At 38.5% G+C, this 20,158-nt stretch overlaps 2 annotated features.

Annotated features, from left to right (window-relative positions):
• Positions 5,414–5,915: an enhancer, noted in NCBI's record as "NANOG hESC enhancer chr6:49553494-49553995 (GRCh37/hg19 assembly coordinates)". NCBI's record gives its function as "activates a minimal SCP1, AML or CMV promoter by ChIP-STARR-seq in naive H9 embryonic stem cells {active_cell/tissue: H9 hESC(naive)}" and the evidence as "EXISTENCE:reporter gene assay evidence [ECO:0000049][PMID:30033119]".
• Positions 17,875–18,075: a silencer, noted in NCBI's record as "peak5837 fragment used in MPRA reporter construct". NCBI's record gives its function as "represses an SCP1 promoter by STARR-seq MPRAs in K562 erythroleukemia cells {active_cell/tissue: K562}" and the evidence as "EXISTENCE:reporter gene assay evidence [ECO:0000049][PMID:32103011]".

Raw genomic sequence — 20,158 nt, forward strand, 5'->3', positions numbered from 1 at the left:
ATAAATCCTTTTGAAAACAAGATAGTTTTTTAATCAGCTTTATGACCCAAGAATGCCTTTCTCAGGGACTTGGGGACAATCTTTTTGAAATATAAACATCAAAGGAGATAGCACCCTATCTCTCAGTTTCCATGTGAGGTTAGGAGCCTAACTTCAGTGGGTACTTCCTCAAGTTGCAAAACTACCTCTTGTCACAAAGAGATGATAAATTTATTTTTCCTTTTTATAAAGCCAGTTAACATAAATGATCATCTCAATTGCCAGGTGAATCTAGAATAAATGGTGTGACAAATAGTGCGGTCAAGTCCTCTTATTTAAGGACTAGTTTTTGTTTATCTTGAGAACATGTATCTAATGGGTTGCATCTGATTGGCTATATGAGAGAGTGAGATTTCTTTGTGTTTTTGCAGTCTTTTAGTGGATAGTGATACACATTATTCTGGTTTAGTGCTTCTTCAATAATGAAAGTGTTTTCTCTCTGCATTACTCTTGTGGAGAAGATTTCTGGGTTGGGAGAAGATTTTGTTTTTATTTACATTTTCTCAACACATTCGATAAAAAATTATTGATTACCTGCTATATGCTTATATCGTGCTAGTTGCAGTTAATCAGTTGATGAACAATAGCAAAGAAAGTAATTTTTGCCAGGGAAAAATGCAGTCTAGCAGACATAAGATTACCCAAGTAAAAACTTAGAAATAAATAATTACCAAGAAGTATAGTCAAATTTCTACATCAGTGCTATACATACTAATATCTAGAGAAACATTGTTATAGCACATAGATGCTCAATAAATATTTACTGAATTAACAGATATGTGAATCTGTGCATAGTTAAAGGAAATAAAAATGATCACTCAAGCAAAGTTTCTCAGAAAAGTTGGAGCAGATGCTAACACTTTATAGAAAAATAAGGAAAGAGAGTGTTGCTAAGGTTGTTAACATATTTTCATGATGAAATTTGTGGTAAAAGTGACATTATTCCTTCTGTGTCAGTCCTAGCCCCAGATCTTCTTTCATTTGCACTTTCCCACATTTTTCTATAGAGTTACAAAAGACATGGGAGGATGTTTTAAATTTGATTGGTAACCAGAAATAGAAAACTAGAATAGACTAAGGCAACTTAGGTGTTAGAAATGGGATAATATGGTCTCAACATGAAGGAATAGAAACTCCAGAGTTGCTGTTGCCACCTCATGTCAGGTCAGGCCTTACTTTGAAAGGATACCAATGAAGGATTAGATTCTGCTCTCACTGAATTATTGGATTAGTATAATATTACTCTGTGAATCATGTATTACATAAAACTCATTCATAACAAATATGTAACTCTTCAGACTATCTCATGTTTATATTTAAAATTTTACATTTTAGAATACAGTATTAGGACATTAAGGGCCCACAGAAGTCATTGTATCTTTCAGATAATAAAATATTCATGTAATCACGGAGAACATTAGTTTAGTATCATGAAGGTTTGAACTTCTTTTAAATATTGGCAAAGAAGCCCTCAATATATTTAAGATTTTTTGATTATCCTCATTATTGGTTGTATTTTATACTTCTTTGCATGCCTGGTAATCTTTGATTTGCCATCAGACATTGTGAATTAAACTTTGTCAAGTACTGAATATTTTTATATTTATATGACTATTCTGGCACTTTATTCTACAATGACATTAAATTATTTGGAAACAGTTTAATTTGGGTCTTGTTTTTTATGATTTGGTAGTCATTTTCAGAAATGTCTTAGTCTTGGGCTAATTTTTTTTTTTTGAGACGCAGAGTCTTCCTCTGTTTCACAGGCTGGAGTGCACAGGCACCATCACTGCTTACTGCAACCTTGACCTTCAGTGCTCAAACAATCCTCCTACCTCAGCCTCCTGAGTAGCTGAGACCATAGGCATGTGCCACCATGCTCGGCTAGTTTTTAAATCTATTGTAGAGATGAGGTGTCACTATGTTGCCTAGGATGGTCTCAAATTCCTAGCCTCAAGCGATCCTCCCACCTCAACCTCCCAAAGTGTTGGGATTACAGGCGTGAGCCACCATGCTTGGCCATCTTGGGCTATTTTTCACCTCTGAGACAAGACCTTTCTGAGTATTTTACACAATACCCCATGAATTATGAATTTTTCTTCTGGGTGGTGGTTACAGGCACTATTATTTCCTGCCCTGTTAAATATCAGGCACTAATCCCTCTAATTCTTTTTGGTAGTGCTTTCCCTGGCCTCAGGTAGTTCTTTCCACATGCATACACTAAATAGCATTTTGCTGAATACTTGAGGGACTCTTATTCATAAGGGTCAGAAGGGTTCTTTCTGTGTACAGTTCTCTCTGGTTATCTGTTTTGCACACTTCAACTGTACTGTCTCTCTGGATTCAAAGTAATGCATTCTCAGCTCAGGAATGTGCTGGGCTGCCACTTCCTGCACCACAACCTAAAAACTTTCATAAGGCAGTAAGTTGAGAAAATAGTAGACGTTACCTCATTTGTTTCACATCTTTCATGGATAACTGTGCTTTGTTACCTGATGTCCAATGTCTTGCCATATATTATTTTCCTATTTTTGTTTGTTGGTTTGGTTCAAGTGGGAGGGTAAGTTTGGTTCCTACGAATACATTTTAGCCAGATGTGGAAGTTGGAAGGCCTGTAAAATATAGTACGTGAAAATATAAACGATAGGCAAAAGAGTGTATAGTTTGATCTCAATTACACAAAGGAAATCAAACATTTGTTTGTTTATGTATACTTTTTAAGGATCTAACTAAACTGTAGTCGTAGCAACATCTGTTAGGGAAGAAAAGGGCATCGGTCTGGTGGTAAAGGAAAGGGAAGCTATCACTTGTCATTTTGAAAAATAATTAATACTATTAGAATTTTTGCCATATACTTGCCATATATGTGTATTATTTTCATAATTTAAACAATTGGAAATTAAAAAAATCATCTCAGAGTTAAGGAAGCTGTGAAGAAAACTTGTTTGTTTTTTCTTTCTAATTCATGCTAAGTTAAGAACTTGCTTGTGTTTGTGTGTGTGTGTATGTGTGTGTGACTGTGAAATATGGCAGGTCAGGGGTTGGGTGTTAATTCTGGGGAGAAGTTTAATTTGTCATGCCTGCAAATTAATGGAGCATAGAGAGTAATCCTTGAGACATATAGTTTTGATAACATATAATTTTATTGTTTATATTAACATACTACTTATGAGTTTATCACATACTTGCTTATTATAAGTACTTATGTGTATGTACAGAATAAACACAATAAGCCTATGAGATTAGGCATTGTTACCATCATCCTTGGTGAGAAAATGGAAATAAGTAAACTTTCTAAGGTTACGTAACAAGTAAAAGACAGAGTTGGGATCCAAGCTAGGCAGCCTGGCCCCAGAATCTACACTTTGATCACAACATTTTACTCTTTTCATAGTTGTTTAAGTGTCCTTCATGACAACCATTTTATCTTGAATTTAAGTGATAATCACTTAAGGTGCTATGACTAGAATTGGCTGCAATGTCAGGATGTAAAATAAGCAGTAACTGGCCATGAGCTTCAGTGTCTGAAGATCCAACCCAAGAGATAGATTCTGCAGGCAAAAATGGATTTTAATACTATTCTAGGGCCTGGTAACCATGGCACCATTATATAAGTTTCTAAATAGGCAGGGGAAATTAAAGCAAGAAGCAATAGGCTAAATATACATAAACCTGGTAACATGCATGATTGGAAACAGGAGGCAGTTGGGAGAGCCTGGAGAATTCCTTAGGTCAGACAGAGTATACATTAGTTTACTGAGTCTGTCAAAACGAAGTGCTACAGATTGACTGGCTTAAACAACAGAAATTTGTTTTATCTTAAGTCTGCAGGCGAGAAGTTCAAGGTTGAGATGTCCACATTGTTGGATTCTTCTGAAGACCTCTCTTCTTGGCTTATCCATGGTCTCCTTCTCCATGTCATCAAATGGGTCATTTTTCTGTGTGTGCTTCTATCCTAATTGTCTCTTCTTATAAGGATATCAGTCATATCAGGTTAGGACCCAGACATATGACCACATGTAACCTTAATTACCTTTTAAAGACTCTGTCTTCAAATACAATTACAGGAACATTCTGAGTACTGGGTGTTAAGATGTCAGTATATGAATTTTGGGGGAATGCAATTCAGCTCATAACAGGATGGTTACTGAAAATTAAGGCACAGGCAGGTAGAGAATGATGGAGGTCACAAACCTGTTTGGGCACCAACCACTGAGCCAACATTTTTTGGGCTGAAGTTGATGAGAAAGAAGATGGTTTATTATTCTAATGGCCTTTTTCATACTTTTTTCCTCATAGAAAGGTATGTGAAAGTGATCTCAAAATTCTGTTTGCACTTTCTTTTCATATTTTAAAACTATGCCTTAATACTAATTATACAATTTTGATTTATATTAATATATGCAGTGCTTGATTATAGACATATATCAATCACAACTGCTTCTGCAACCTTAGATGTTACAAACATAACCTACTGCCTGGATTCTTGAAGTATGATCCCAAATTTTTTTCCCTTAATCCCAAAATATTACACCATGGTAATTAATATCTAGACCTAGGAAGGGTCTGATTCAGCATCATAACTAAAACAATGTGGCCTTTGGCACCAAAAAGATCTGAATTTGAATTCAATTTTGCCCCTTTTATTATGTTGCTTGTAGCAAGCTACTTAAACTCTATATGACTCAATATGTAGTATTACTCATCTAGGGAATTTATCAATACTTATGTAAATACATGTTTGTATATATATATATCTGATTTCTTGGCCAGTTGTCCATATTTGTTAATGATTGGGCATGTTTTCTGTAATTATAGGACATTAGATGACCAAAATTCCAACTTAAAAGCTGGGCAATTTGATCTCCAAAATTTGACCTACTTTGGTAGATTTGCGGATAGAAATTATTAGGTAAATAGTTGGTTCTCCCTCTCTCTCTCTTTTAATCAGAGTCTCATTCTGTCACCCAGGCTGGAGTGCAGTGGTGCCATCTGAGCTCACTGAAACCTCCGCCTCCCATGTTCAAGTTATTCTCCTGTCTCAGCCTCCCAAGTAGCTGGGATTATAGGCACTCACCACCACGCCTGGCTAATTTTAGTATCTTTAGTAGAGGTGGGGTTTCACCGTGTTGGTCAGGCTGGTCTTGAACTTCTGACCTCAAGTGATCTGCCCACCTCAGTGTCCCAAAGTGCTGGGAATACAGGTGTGAGCCTCCATACCCCTCCAGTATTTGGTTCTTTATAAAATGTGCTATTATTATTATTAATCTCTTTCTCACTACATCCAAGACTATCAGCCATGATTCTGTAATTGTTTTACTTAAGAAGTAACTTAAGTATATCATCTATTGGACACCAGAATACCAAACTTTCTCAAGAATATTTCTTGGGGGTTACATATAATTGGAATCTGGGTTATAAAGTAATCTGTAAATACAGAAAAATATGCCCATTATTCCCCATATTGGTGACCTTGTCAATAAATTGGACTCCTGTATATATTATTTAACTCTGATAAAACCCCTAGATGAGTAAAGTATAGTCTCACATCATCTTCTGCATAGGCAGATGTGATTTTGTGAAATATTTATTTGGTCTTCATCCCCATCTCCTGGTATACAACTCTTAATTTCCTTGGAATTTCCAAAGTAATCAGTGTCCTTTTGTATGTTAATGAATTGACTGGTGGCTGGCAGTCCCTGGGTAGCTTCAGAATGAGGTATGGTCACAGGAAAGACCAAGGCTATGACTAAAGGGTTGGAACTTTCAACTCCACCTCACAACCTCCATGGAGGGAGACGGGCTGAAGGTTAAGTTGATGACCAATGGCCAATACTTAATCAATTTTGCCTATATAATGAAGCTTGCATAAAAACAGAAATGAACTGGGCTGTTTGTTTTGTTTTTGCTCTGTTGCTCTGTTGTCCAGGCAATCATGGCCTACTGCAACCTCAACCTCAACCTCAACCTGCTGGGCTCAAGTGATCCTCCTGCCTCAGCCTCCTAAGTAGCTGGGACTACAAGTACACACCACCACATCTGGCCAATTTTGTATTTATTTTTTTGTGGAGATGGGGGTCTCACTTTCTTGCCCAGGCTTGTCCCAAACTCCTAGGCTCGAACAATCCTTCTGCTTCAGCCTCCTAAAGTGCTGCATTACAGATGTGAACCACTGTGCCTGGCCTTGAATTGGACTTAGCTTCCAGATAGCTGAACACGTGGAGGCTCCTGGAGGGTGGCATGCCCAAGAATGCATGGAAGATTTGCTCCCCTTCTCCCATACCTTGCCTTATGCATCTCTGCATCTGTGTCCTTGTAATATCCTTTATAATGACCCAGTAAACACAAGTGAGTGTTTCCCTGAGTGCTGTGAGCTACTCTAACAAAGTAATCAAACCCAAGGATGAGGTCACGGGAACCTCAATTTGTGGTCAAAAGCAAAGGTAAAACAACCTGGGGCTTGTGATTGGTACTGGAATGGAGGGCAGTCTTATGGAACTGAGCCCTCAATCTGGACATAACACTAACTCAATGTTGACAGTGCCAGAATTGAACTGAATTAGAGTACACCCAATTGATGTCTGTTGCAGAATTGAGTGGTTGCTGGTGGGGAGAAATCCCCACACACTTCTTGGTGACCAGAGGTCACAGAAGTCTTCTGTATTGATTGCTGTGGTGTGATAACAGAGAAAAAACTTCTTCTTTTTTTTTTTTCTTTTCAGCATACTCTCTTAAATTGTATAATACGTAGCTTAAAGTTGTTGTCAGAAACAAAGACAGGTAAAGCCTTGTTATAAATAAAGTTTCGGTGCTGCAAAAGAAATAGTACTTGAATATAAAATTTTCTTTTTAGTTCTCAGAAAGGCAAGTTACTTCTATAGAAAGGTGTGCCCTTACAGATGGAGCAATGGTGAGCCACACTAGGACAAGGGAGGGGAAGGGGTTCTTATCCCTGTAGCAACGTGGCCCCTGCTGCTGTGTCATTCCCCTATTGGCTAGGGTTAGACTGCACAGGCTAAACTAATTCCAATTGGCTAATTTAAAGAGAATGACAGGGTGTTTTGGCGGGAAAAATTGTTATGACAGAACAGGTAATCGGAATGAGTCAGGGATGAGTAGGTAATCGGAATGAGTCAGGATGGAGCAGGTAATCGAAAAAGGTTGCTTTACAAGGAAATTAAGTTTAAAAGTAGAAGGCAAAGAATTGAACATGCTGACATACTGATTCTTTGAAAAGAAATTCAGAACTTATATCTAACAGCCTGAAAACAAATCAGTTTTCACACCACTATCTGTAATTACAGTCAATAATTATAAACTAATCACTCAGATTTAAATTTAAATCAAAAATGACAAAAATGTTAAGAAATAGGTCATTCTCTGAGTTGAGTTTAAAATTTTTAACCAGATCATCTGATCAATGTAAATATTATTGCCTTAAATGACTTTAGAATAGGTAAGGCACAAACATGCCAAAAACATTCTTAGAGGGCCTGCTAGTTGACTTAGGCCTCAGGGTTCTTCCTCAGGAAGAGGGGCTTGATGTTCTATGCTCAGGCCTGAGATTACAAGGGTGTGGAAAGGGTAAAATGGGAGTAAGGGGAGATAGTATTTTCCTGACAGCTGGGCAATAACAAAGAAAAAAAAAGAAGAAGTAGAAATGAAAGAAAGAGATGATTTCTAGTGCAATGAAAGAGGAAAAAGAAGAGAGAAAGGAAGAATGTTAAAAAAAAAACGAGGTTGAGTGTGGTGGCTCATGCCTGTAATTTCAGTACTTTATGAGATTGAGGCAAGAGGATCACTCAAGCCCAAGAGTTTGAGACCAGCCCGTACAACATAATGAGACCTGATTAAAAAACCAAACAACAACAACAAAAAAACCCCAAAAAACAACTTTACAAATTGGGCAGGCATGGTGGTGTCTGTAGTTCCAGCTACTTGGGAAGTTGTCTTGAGCCTGGGCCGGGGTGACAGAAGGAGACCCTGTCTCAAATAAATAAATAAATAGGATAAAAAGGAAAAAATGAGAAAAGACATTAAAAAAAATTCTATATTCACAGATAGCCATACCATATGTTGGGGCTCAGAAACAAATACCCTAAAATGAAGACTACAGCAGCAGCCTCAGAAACAATAGTTTTTCTCTGAAGTTCTCCAGGCCTCCTGTCTCTCAGTCCCATTTTCCTCTGAGATTGGGACTCCTCTGAGATTCTAGTGGAGTCCCAATCTCTCTTCCCCAAAGAAACAAGAACGCCTTTTCCCGAATGCCAGCCATAAAACCTAAAATTATTCCGTGTAAAAACTGGCCATAATGAAATTATCTGTCCTACCTTGTTTGACTGTAGGTCATAAGACCTCCATTTCAGAAAGGGTCCTACCTCATACTCAGAAGAAAGGAACGCTACATAGAGAAACCAAGAAAAATCTAGACGGACAGTCCTTGATGGGTGATACCGTTTGGACGTTTGTTCCCCAGGTCTCATGTTGAAATATAATCCCCAATGTTGGAGATGAGGCCTGGTGAGAGGTGTTTGGGTCTTGGGGGCAGATCCGTCATGAATAGCTTGGTGCTATCCTATGATACTTGTGAGATCTGGTTGTTTAAAAGTGTGTGGTCCCTCCCCCCTCCTCTTGCTCTTGATCTCACCATATGATGTGTCTGCTCCCCTTTCACCTTCTGCCATGAGTAAAACTCCCCCAGGCCTCACAAGAAGCTGAGCAGATGCCGGTGCCATGATTGTGCAGCCTGCAGAACCACAAATCAATTAAACCTCCTTTATTGATAAATTACCCAGTCTCAGTTATTTCTTTACAGTGATGCAAGAACAGACTAACACACTGGGTTTTCCCACTTAGTCTGTAAGCATTAGATCATGCCTTTTTTGTCCAATCATATTTCTTCATGGCCGTCAATACTTTGTTAAACCTAAGCATGAAAATGGAAATTTCCCCTGTAGCTTGCCACCAGCAACATAATAAAAGGTGCGAACTTGAATTCAAATTCAGATCTTTTTAGTGTCAAAGGCCACATTCTTTTAGAATGTTGGGTCTTCATTCTGAGGGCTCCAGTGTATACATGTTCAACAAATTTGTATGCCTTTTATCCTATTAATTAATCTGTTCCATGTCAGTGATTATTTTTTTAGCAGGCTTTTAGAGAGCCAAGGGCCTTGGCATCCACACACATATATGGTATCTTTAGGTTCATGAATATTCGCCACACATACATACACACATTCATCCTAAAATCACCCCAGAGTCTTTCAAATAAATGGGTGGGAGTATGTCTGGATCTTCACGTTCGTTTTTGAATTTTACCATATTTTTTTTGCCACATTCTTCTTTAGTGTGAATATTAACTTAAATTAATTTATATATAAATATGCCCCATAATCTATATAGCTTCAACATTCAGTAGAATCTGTCAGATAAAAAATAAATCCAACATAGTAAGGAGAGGCTTTAACTCCAAAGGATTATTGGCAGGGAGGAAAAGGGACTATTGCAACAGAGTAGGAGAGACTCTTGAAATATGGAAAATGCTAAGACCATAGGTCTATTACTGTCTTAAGGGTTTGGAGAGGTATAAACAAAGCCAGAAAGAACTGGCTTTGGAGAAGCGGCATAAGAGTGGCATGATTGGAGAGAAGATCAGAGAATATTTCACTATGGGGCAGTATATTCTCAGCAGAGGTTCTATGCTGGTTAGGCTGAGGGTGAGCCAAAGTTCAGCAGCCTAGGGGGAGGAAAGAAGCTTAACCAATTTGGTTAACATGCATTTTTGTTCAATTGATAAGTAAAAACAAGTAGTTCAGCTAAGCATTTATGCAGTAAAGCATAGAAATTTGGAGGGTCTGTGCTTGGCCTTGTCATAGGTAAACAAGGGGGTATCTGTGAGTCTTGTCTAAGTCATGTAGGGAAGGGTGCTTTCTTGCAGTAAGCCATTTTCTGGAACACAAAAGGGTGTGTGTATGGTGGCAGAGGGAATCCCTTTAACCTTCACCATTTTCTAAGAGCACAAGGCTCAGGTAAATTAAACAGTGTCAAATCTCCGCTATTTAGTATTTGGCGTGTTAATTGAAAAACTTGTTTAAAATGAGAAAAAGGATTTAGTGAACAAAGATCCACACATATGCATTTATTCAAAAACCTTGTATTATAAGACATCTTGGTGTGTTTTACCACAGGATAGACAGCTTGGCTTAATTCCAGGAGTTTAGTAAAATGCATGTCAGTAAAAAAAACAAAAAACTTTTGTGTGCAGGTTAAAAAAATGATAAGACCATTTTGCTTGATTTTGCTCACTTCAGACACATGAATTTTCAATATCATTGTGTATAAACATATGATGATATCTGAAAGGAATATATTACCTTGGATTTTTGAAGATGTCTAATGGGCTTGAACAGAGTGACTGAACCTGCACATCATAATGCGAAATTTTACAATTCACTATGTGCATGAATGGTCAATACACTAAAAGGAATGCATTTTGTGATCTGATATAAATTCTCATTTCTTTTTTTTTCTTTCTTTCTTTTTTTTTTTTGGTGGTGGGGGGACTGTGGGCAGAATCTTGCTATATCACCCAGGCTGGAGTGCAATGGCGCAATCTCAGGCCACTGCAACCTCCGCCTCCTGGGTTCAAGCGATTCTGCTGCCTCAGCCTCCTGAGTAGCTGGGATTACAGGCCTGGCTAATTTTTGTATTTTTAGTAGAGACAGGGTTTCACCATGTTGGGCAGGCTGGTCTCAAACTCCTGACTTCGTGATCCACCCACCTAGGCCTCCCAAAGTGTTGGGATTATGGGCATAAGCTGCTGTGTTCGGCCTAAGTTCTCATTCCTAGCTCACTAAAAAACTAGTGATTTTAAACAAACAAACAAACAAACAAAGTGTTTCTAGGAGACTAGTTTTGGATTGAACTAGATTCTTTGTAGGTCAAATCCTAGAGATCCTCCTATGTCTCCCATTTGTTTCTTCTTACACTATTTTGCTTTAGGATATTTTGCCCTGAGATTTTAAATTTAGCCTTCATTAATTAAATAAATAATTCACTTATTCAAAGAATAGTGGAGAGGTGTGCATCAATGAATGTGTGTTTTGTTTTTCTCTGTTATAAGCTAAATCCTGACTGTTTGCTGGTGAAGTCAACAAACAGACAACCAGGATGTACTGGAGCATCATAACAGCTCACTGCTTATGTGCTCTGGTGCCTACATACTTTTCCTCCCTCCTTGGCAGCATTTTATCTGTAAAAGAAGTATGTTTTATATGTTTTTATCATGGACATGCAGAACTCACTTTGAACTGAAAAATCACTTTCTGCTTGAAATCAAGGATAAAATGAATTTCCTTAACACATAACACATTAAACATCCACAATTATTAAACCACCAGTTTATGGAGCAATACTTTTTAGTCATTTTATGCCCCATTTTGTGTATATTCCACTGGAATTTTGGAAGAAAGATGGCTAGGAATTTGTCCCCAGCTCACTCCTTCAAGAAGAGTAAAAGACTCTTCCAAAGTAAAATAGAGCTAATTCCATAATGCAAGTCCAGGAAATAGAATTCTCCCAGAGTGATAGTTCACTACTCTTTATTCCTCTGCCCCAAATGGCAACTCTCTTTCTTGCTCTTCCTCTCTCATTTTTTCTTTTAATGAACAATTCGGTTACATAGCCATTGAGTTGGGTAGAACTAGGTAGGTGTCCACACCTGGTGATGAGGGGATGTGATGTTTGAGATCACGACATGTTGGAGCCTGAGCAGTGTGAGGAGTGTGTGCATGTAAAAGGGCTGCTCCCTGGGGAGAATAAGAGCCAAGAGGCGTGAGAAGGGTGACCACAGGGAAGAGTGGTCTGGTGTGCATTGTCATAGCCTTGTGCAGGGTGAAGTGGCATACACACAGGGGAAACCCTGGTTATGGAGCCTGATTGTGGGTGGTGTGGAAGCCATCTGCATGGAGAATGGGGCAACAGTAGCGATAAGAGATTGGCTACATACAGGAGCTTGATCAATTAAGTAATTATAGTAAGGATGATAGGAATCTGATTTGTTGCTGTTGGAGAAAGGAGCTCCAAATACAGAAAATGAGAAAACCAGAATGAATCTTTGAGTGTTGGGTTAGAATTAGACATCTTGTGCAAAATTATAGGTTTTGTTTTTTGGTTTTTTTTTTTTTTTTTTTGAGACAAAGTCTTGCTCTGTCATCTGGCCAGTTGTACAGTGGCATGAACATGGCTCACTGCAACCTCAAACTCTCAGAATCCAGAGATCCTCCCACTTCAGCCTCCTGAGCAGCTGGGACCACAGGCACACCCCACCATGCTTGGCTAATTCATTTATTTTTGTAGAGATGGGGTCTTGTCATGTTGCCCAGGCTGAGCTCAAGCAATCCTCCTGTCTTGGCCTCCCAAAGTATTAGGATTACAGGTGTGAGCCACCATACAGGGCAACAAACCTATGATTTTGGATAGAATCAGTTCTTTTATAACATGACATGCTGATTACTTAAAATTGTTGTGCCATGCAGAATTATACAATAAAACCCACAGGGCTTATGATAAAATAATATTGGAGCACAAAACTCAAATACTTCATTATTGACACACACACAAAAGATTGAAACTTAAAAATGATAGTACAGTTTACACATGTGAAGTGGGTAAGAAGTACATAAATATTATACTAAATATGTCATTTTACCTTGAAAAGGACCTGAAGTTTGATTGTGGAAGTGGGGAACAGAAGAATTGCAACTTATGCAATGGTGGAAGAGGTTTACTTTAAATCAGACAGAAAGCTGTGACATTAGATGAGATGGGTATAGCTCATAGCACATGAGATGAACTGAGGTAATGTAGAGATTTGTGCATGTGTGTATGTGCATATTTTGTGTCCAGGCTTGGTTCAGCTGGATGCAGTTTTCTGTTTTCATCTTGTGTTTCTTGTAAACAAAATAATGCATAAGCAAACACAAAATATATGCTATGCTTAATTTGTTCCTTAATATGTCAATTGTACTGAAACAGATTCACATTTTCCAAACAAGCATTATAGCAGAACTCATTGAATATTAAAATATATAGATAGATATAGAAATAATTGTAGATGCACATATATGCCTTCAGAGACATTTATATTCCCTATCTCTCCAACTGAGAGGGCTGGAGAAAGGCAGCATCCCAATAGCAATGAGCACACATAGCTTGCAGATCTCAGACTATAAATACAACTAAAAGAAATCAGAGGCCAGGTGCGGTGGCTCATGGCTGTAATCCCAGCACTTTGGGAGGCTGAGGCAGGTGGATCATCTGAGGTCAGGAGTTCGAGACCAGCCTGACTAACATGGTGAAATCCTGTCTCTACTAAATACAAAAAATTAGCCAGGCTTGGTGGCGGGTGCCTGTAATCGCAAGTACTCGGCAGGCTGAGACAGGAGAATCGCTTGAACCCGGGAGGTAGAGGTTGCAGTGAGCCGAGATTGCACCATTGCATTCCAGCCTGGGCAACAAGAGCAAAATTTTGTCTCAAAAACAAACAAACAACAAACAAACAAACAAACAAAACAAAAACAAAGAAATTAGGAATTGAGAAAACAGCTAGAACAGGAAAAGGATAAGATGAGCACATCTCAGAAAGACATAGGAACCAGCATGAATAGACTTGCACTGGCAAATCTGGGACAATTTCACCGTCACAACAAATGTTTTTATAATGTATTGTAAATAATTTAATAAAATAAAAAAATCATGAATCTATAGGGATATAAGTTAATAAATGAATGCATTGAAAGATTAAGGAGGAATGGGACATTGACATAGGGATGTGGAAGATTTCATATTGCTTTCACACAAAATAAAATGAATTATAAAGATAAAAACAAGAAACTTTAAAGCAGAGAAACACGCTCTCCATCAATGATTGAAGTGAATAATCATTAATAATGGAACAAGTTCAAAAAGAATTCCACCTGGTAGGATGCAATTCAGTATATAGGCTCACTTTTGTGATATTGCTCTTAAAGTTGTATAACCTAAATCTAATCATGGGGAAACATCAGCAAAACCCAGAGTGGGGACCTTCTATGAAATAACTGCCTACATTCTTCAAAAGTGTCAAGGTCATGAAAGTCAGAGAAACACCAAGGAACTGTTCCAGACTGAAGGACTAAAGAGGCAAGAAACTAGGTATAAAGTGGAATCCTGAACTAGATCATTTTGCTATAATGGAAATCATGAAAACATTTGGCAAAACTTGAATGGGATATCAGGATCCGATGGTTGTTATAGACTGAATTGTGTGTCCCTCCCCATCCTCAAAATAACTCTGCAGAGTAGGTATTATCTCTTTTTATAACTGAATAAAGAGGCTCAGAGAGAAAGTATTTTGTCTAAAGATACTTAAATAGTAAAAGATTAAGAAGGGATTAAATTCAAGGCCAAAAGAAGGGAGAATGACTTTGTTCAAAAGAAGATCTGATATAATTTATATATATATATAAATTATATCATTAAATATATATATATATATATATATTTTTTTTTTTTGAGATGGAGTCTTGCTCTGTTGCCCAGGGTGGAGTGCAATGGCATGATCTCGGCTCACTGCAATCTCTGCCTCCTGGATTCATGTGATTCTCCTGCTTCAGCCTCCTGAGTAGCTGGGATTACAGGTGCATGCCACCACGCCTGGCTAATTTTTGTATTTTTAGTAGAGGAGGGGTATTACCATGATGGCCAGGCTGATCTCGAACTGCTGACCTCAGGTGATCTGCCCGCCTCGGCCTCCCAAAGTGCTGGGATTACAGGTGTGAGCCACTGAGCCCAGCTTGATGGAATTATACTTTCTATCAAATTAATTCTTGGAAGTGTCTGTCTGGTTAACAAAGCTAGGGTGCACTATAACTGCTCTCATTTATGTTAGATGAAGCTGGAATACATACTATTCTGAGAGATTTTCAATGGACACACATCAAAATAAGGCCAATATAAAAGCCAAAATTATTAGTTAGAAAAGACTAGATTTTATACTCCTAAAATAGAAGGGAACTTAGGTCTGGAGTTGGACAGGGATAGAGGTAGGTGGCCCAGGAAGTAAAGTGAAAAGTGGAGAGATCTGATAGTTCATGGGTTTGCTAACTCCTCCCATTTGCTAATCTCCCCAACTGACCTACTCCACGTTAGCACTCACACTCACACACAAATAACTTCTACCTTCAAAAAGAGAAGAAGAAATTGATTGAGCAGACTTTCAATCTTTCATTTCATGAGCAGGGTGGTCTCCAGGGAAAAGAGTATCGGTTTTATTTTCAGTAGAATTCGTTCTTAATCCAGTCTCTGCTTAGCTGTATGCTTTCTTTATGTCATTTTGAATTTTTTTCTGGCAAGTTTTCCTTGAGTGGCTGAATTTGATTTAGGTTCTTGTCTCCTCCTATGTATACTACTCTGTGTTTGCTACCATAATAGAACCTGTCAGTATAGACACTTTAGTATGTCACTGATCCACCAGCTATATTCTAGGGTATCTATATCTATATCTATATATATGTATATATATATCTCATTTATTCAATAATAATTCATTGAGCACTGGCTAAGTTTGACTCTATAAATACAAAGTCATATAAGATAAAGCTCTTGATATATATCCTAGATATATATATCTAGGATATATATATATATATCTTGGAGATATATATATCTAGGAGATATATATATATATCTTGGAGATATATATATCTAGGAGATATATATATATATCTTGGAGATATATATATCTAGGAGATATATATATATATCTTGGAGATATATATATCTAGGAGATATATATATATCTAGGATATATATATATCTAGGACATATATCTAGGATATATCTAGGATATATATATATATCTAGGATATATCTATATCTAGGATATATATATATATCTAGGATATATCTATATCTAGGATATATCTATATCTAGGATATATATATATATATCTAGGATATATCTATATCTAGGATATATATATATCTAGGATATATATATATATCTAGGATATATCAAGAGCTTTATCTTATATGACTTTGTATTTATAAAGTCAAACTTAGCCAGTGCTCAATGAATCATTATTGAATAAATGAGTAACCAGATAAATTTAAAAAAGGATACCTTTGCTTCTTTGAGGCTGATTGCCTTGGTTTGTTCAAGTCATTCAATTACTTATCAATTCATCCACTAAACAAGCTTCCCTAAAACATGTGCTCTATTGAAGATGTGAGGGTTACAAAGAAATAAATGAATTGTGTCTGCTCTTAAAAGAGCAGACTTTAAATGAAACATGTAACGTTATCGAGTTGTAAAATACATGGAGTGACATCTTTATAGCTTATTTAAGTGGGGAGATGGGCGCTTCAATGTGTCCCTCTTAACCTTGTCCACAATTAAAGTATAGGACCTCTCCTGAGCTGAGCATTAACCAGGACTGAAGGATGTGAAACCTTTAGATTCTGGGAAGACACCAATGACAACACCTACAGAGAACTTCCCTCCTGTATGTTGGAGGAAAGTCTGGAGGCAGTTGTAGAGTCATGAGCTAAGGATGTGGGTACAGCTGGTTTGCAGAGATTTGTGAATTCCCAGTGGATCGTGATGTAGCTTCTCAGTTGAGTGTTCCTGAAATGACAGTGGGTCTTTCTGGTCCCCCATAGGTGGCAGGAGGGCTTAGCAGATACATTGAGCTACTTTTAGCCCTGATTCTAAGATAATGCAACGCTTTAGCAGGTGAAAAAACAAATGAACAAAGAGATTTCCTTTGGGTGCCAATCCAAGGAAGTTCTATTTTGGCATCTGGCAAAACTTTAATCCATTCAGCCAGAGATTACTGTCCCTTCCTTCATTTTTAAGATTTTTGTCACCCAAGGTATCTCAGCAGCTGGAATTTAACCCTCAGTGAATAAACAAAAAGAAAAAGGACAATCCACCTAATGCTTCCAGCACTCAAAGTGAAGAGAGTCAAGAAAACACACAAAGTAAGTGGCTTCTAACAAAATGCAGCTACTAGAAAAGTCCGCCCACAACTTTCCTCAGCAGAGTTCTCTTGTCTTGTGCAAGAAATGGGTTACGGACTATGGAAAAAAGGGTTGGGGAAGCCTGAAGATTTCAGCTTTCACCAAACTGTCTGAAATTGCAGTTAGTGATTATGAGTCAATCTTTCAGATTTAGATAACAACAAAGAATAACAAAGACTTCCTGGAATTGATCATGTAAGTACAACTCGAGATTTCTAATCAAATCAACCAATTATCATAAATACAGTATTAGTTAACATCCTAGATGTTTGTGTGTGTGTGTGTGTGTGAAGAGATAAAGTATGATGTTATTTAAGTTTTGCAGACAGATTTTGAACTTGAACAAAAATAGCACCCATCTCCAATAAACAAAATTATAAAAGTAAGGAAATTCAGGCATAGCACATGTACGTGTATGCACGTGTGAACACACACACACAGATTTGCTGGACCTACAAAAATGGACCATGATTTACAACAATGAAACAAACAAAAATAAATTGAAGAAATAGATGAATGGAACCAATGAAATAAAGATCGGGAAGATCTTGGATAAGAGACCGAGCAGACTTTCCATATGAATAACAAGAGTGCCAGAAAAAGAAAAAATTAACAGTTGAAGAAGACAAAGTTACTAAATAGTAGAAAAAAATGTAACTGAACAGAAGACTCAAGTATTACAATTAAAATGCTTCACTAAATTCCAGGCAAGATAGATAAAAAACATATTATTCTACTGTGAAAAGAAGACCACTATCTCAGAATTTGAAAAATAAGGCTTTATTACTTACAAGAACTGCCTTGCAGGAAGGCAGGAGAGAGTGTTTACAAGCCAGGGAGTGATGATGATCATGAGCCAGTTCCCTGGCACATCAAAATGATAGACTTACTTATATTCCTGAGTATACCCAAGACCCTCCAAGATTTGCTTTATGATCAGCAGGGAGGGGAGGGGGTCTCATTACCCTGGTAATGAAAATGATTCTTTTTAAGGATCAGAAGGGAGAGAAGAGTGGACTTTATAAATGAGCACACTCCAGAACACCTATTTGAAAGAAGTTCTGACGTGTGTTTAAAAGAAGTCAACTAGGGGGCAGTTCCAAGATGGCCGAATAGGAACAGCTCCAGTCTACAGCTCCCAGCACGAGCAATGCAGAAGACGGGTGATTTCTGCATTTCCAACTGAGGTACCGGGTTCATCTCACTGGGGCTTGTTCGACAGTGGGTGCAGGACACTGGGTGCAGTGCACCAAGTGTGAGCTGAAGCAGGGTGAGACATCGCCTCACCCGGGAAGTGCAAAGCGTCAGGGATTTCTGTTTCCTAGCCAAGCAAAGCTGTGTCAGACGGCACCTGGAAAATCAGGTCACTCCCACCCTAATACTGTGCTTTTCCAATGGTCTTAGCAAATGGCACACCAGGAGATTATATTGTGCACCTGGCTCAGAGGGTCCCATGCCCATGGAGCCTCGCTCATTGCTAGCACAGCAGTAGGAGATTGAACTGCAAGGAGGTAGGGAGGCTGGGGGAGGGGCACCCACCATTGCTGAGGCTTGAGTAGGTAAACAAAGTGGCCAGGAAGCTCGAACTGGGAGGAGCCCACTGCAGCTCAAGGAGGCCTGCCTCCCTCTGTAGACTCCACCTCTGGGGGCAGGTCATAGCTGAACAAAAGGCAGCAGAAACCTCTGCAGACTTAAATGTCCCTGCCTGATAGTTTTGAAAAGAGTAGTGGTTCTCCCAGAATGGAGTTTGAGATCTGATAAGGGACAGACTGCCTCCTGAAGTGGGTCCCTGACCCCCAAGTAGCCTAACGGGGAGGCACTCCCCAGTAGGGGCAGACTGACACCCACACGGCCGGGTACCCCTCTGGGACAAAACTTCCAGAGGAATGATCAGGCAGCAACATTTGCTGTTCAGCAGTATTCACTGTTCTGCAGCCTCTGCTGCTGATACCCAGGAAAACAGGGTCTGGAGTGGATCTTCAGCAAACTCCAACAGACCTGCAGCTGAAAGTCCTGACTGTTAGAAGGAAAACTAACAAACAGAAAGGACATCCACACCAAAACCCCATCTGTATGTCACCATCATCAAAGACCAAAGGTAGATAAAACCACAAAGATGGGGAAAAAACAGAACAGAAAAACAGAAAATTCTATAAATCAGAGTGCCTCTCCTCCTCCAAAGGAACGCAGTTCCTCACCAGCAACAGAACAAAGCTGGATGGAGAATAACTTTGACGAGTTGAGAGAAGGCTTCAGATGATCAAACTTCTCTGAGCTAAAGGAGGAAGTTTGAACCCATCGCAAAGAAACTAAAAACCTTGAAAAAAGATTAGACGAATGGCTAACTATAATAACCAACACAGAGAAGTCCTTAAAGGACCTGATGGAGCTGAAAACCATGGCACGAGAACTATGTGACGAATGCACAGGCTTCAGTAGCCGATTCGATCACCTGGAAGAAAGGGTATCAGTGATTGAAGATCAAATGAATGAAATGAAGTGAGAAGAGAAGTTTAGAGAAAAAAGAGTAAAAAGAAATGAACAAAGCCTCCAAGAAATATGGGACTTTGTGAAAAGACCAAATGTACGTCTGATTGGTGTACCTGAAAGTGACGAGGAGAATGGAACCAAGTTGGAAAACACTCTGCAGGATATTATCCAGGAGAACTTCCCCAACCTAGCAAGGCAGGCCAACATTCAAATTCGGGAAATACAGAGAACTCCACAAAGATACTCCTCGAAAAGAGCAACTCCAAGACACATACTTGTCAGATTCACCAAAGTTGAAATGAAGGAAAAAACGTTAAGGGCAGCCAGAGAGAAAGGCTGGGTTACCCACAAAGGGAAGACCATCAGACTAACAGCAGATCTCTTGGCAGAAACTGCCAGAAGAGAGTGCGGGCCAATATTCAACATTCTTAAAGAAAAGAATTTTCAACCCAGAATTTCATATCCAGCCAAACTAAGCCTCATAAGTGAAAGAGAAATAAAATCCTTTACAGACAAACAAACGCTGGGAGATTTTGTCACCACCAGGCCTGCCCTAAAAGAGCTCCTG

Source organism: Homo sapiens, chromosome 6 (assembly GCF_000001405.40).
Source record: "Homo sapiens chromosome 6, GRCh38.p14 Primary Assembly".
In the NCBI taxonomy this organism is placed as follows: Eukaryota; Metazoa; Chordata; class Mammalia; order Primates; family Hominidae; genus Homo; species Homo sapiens.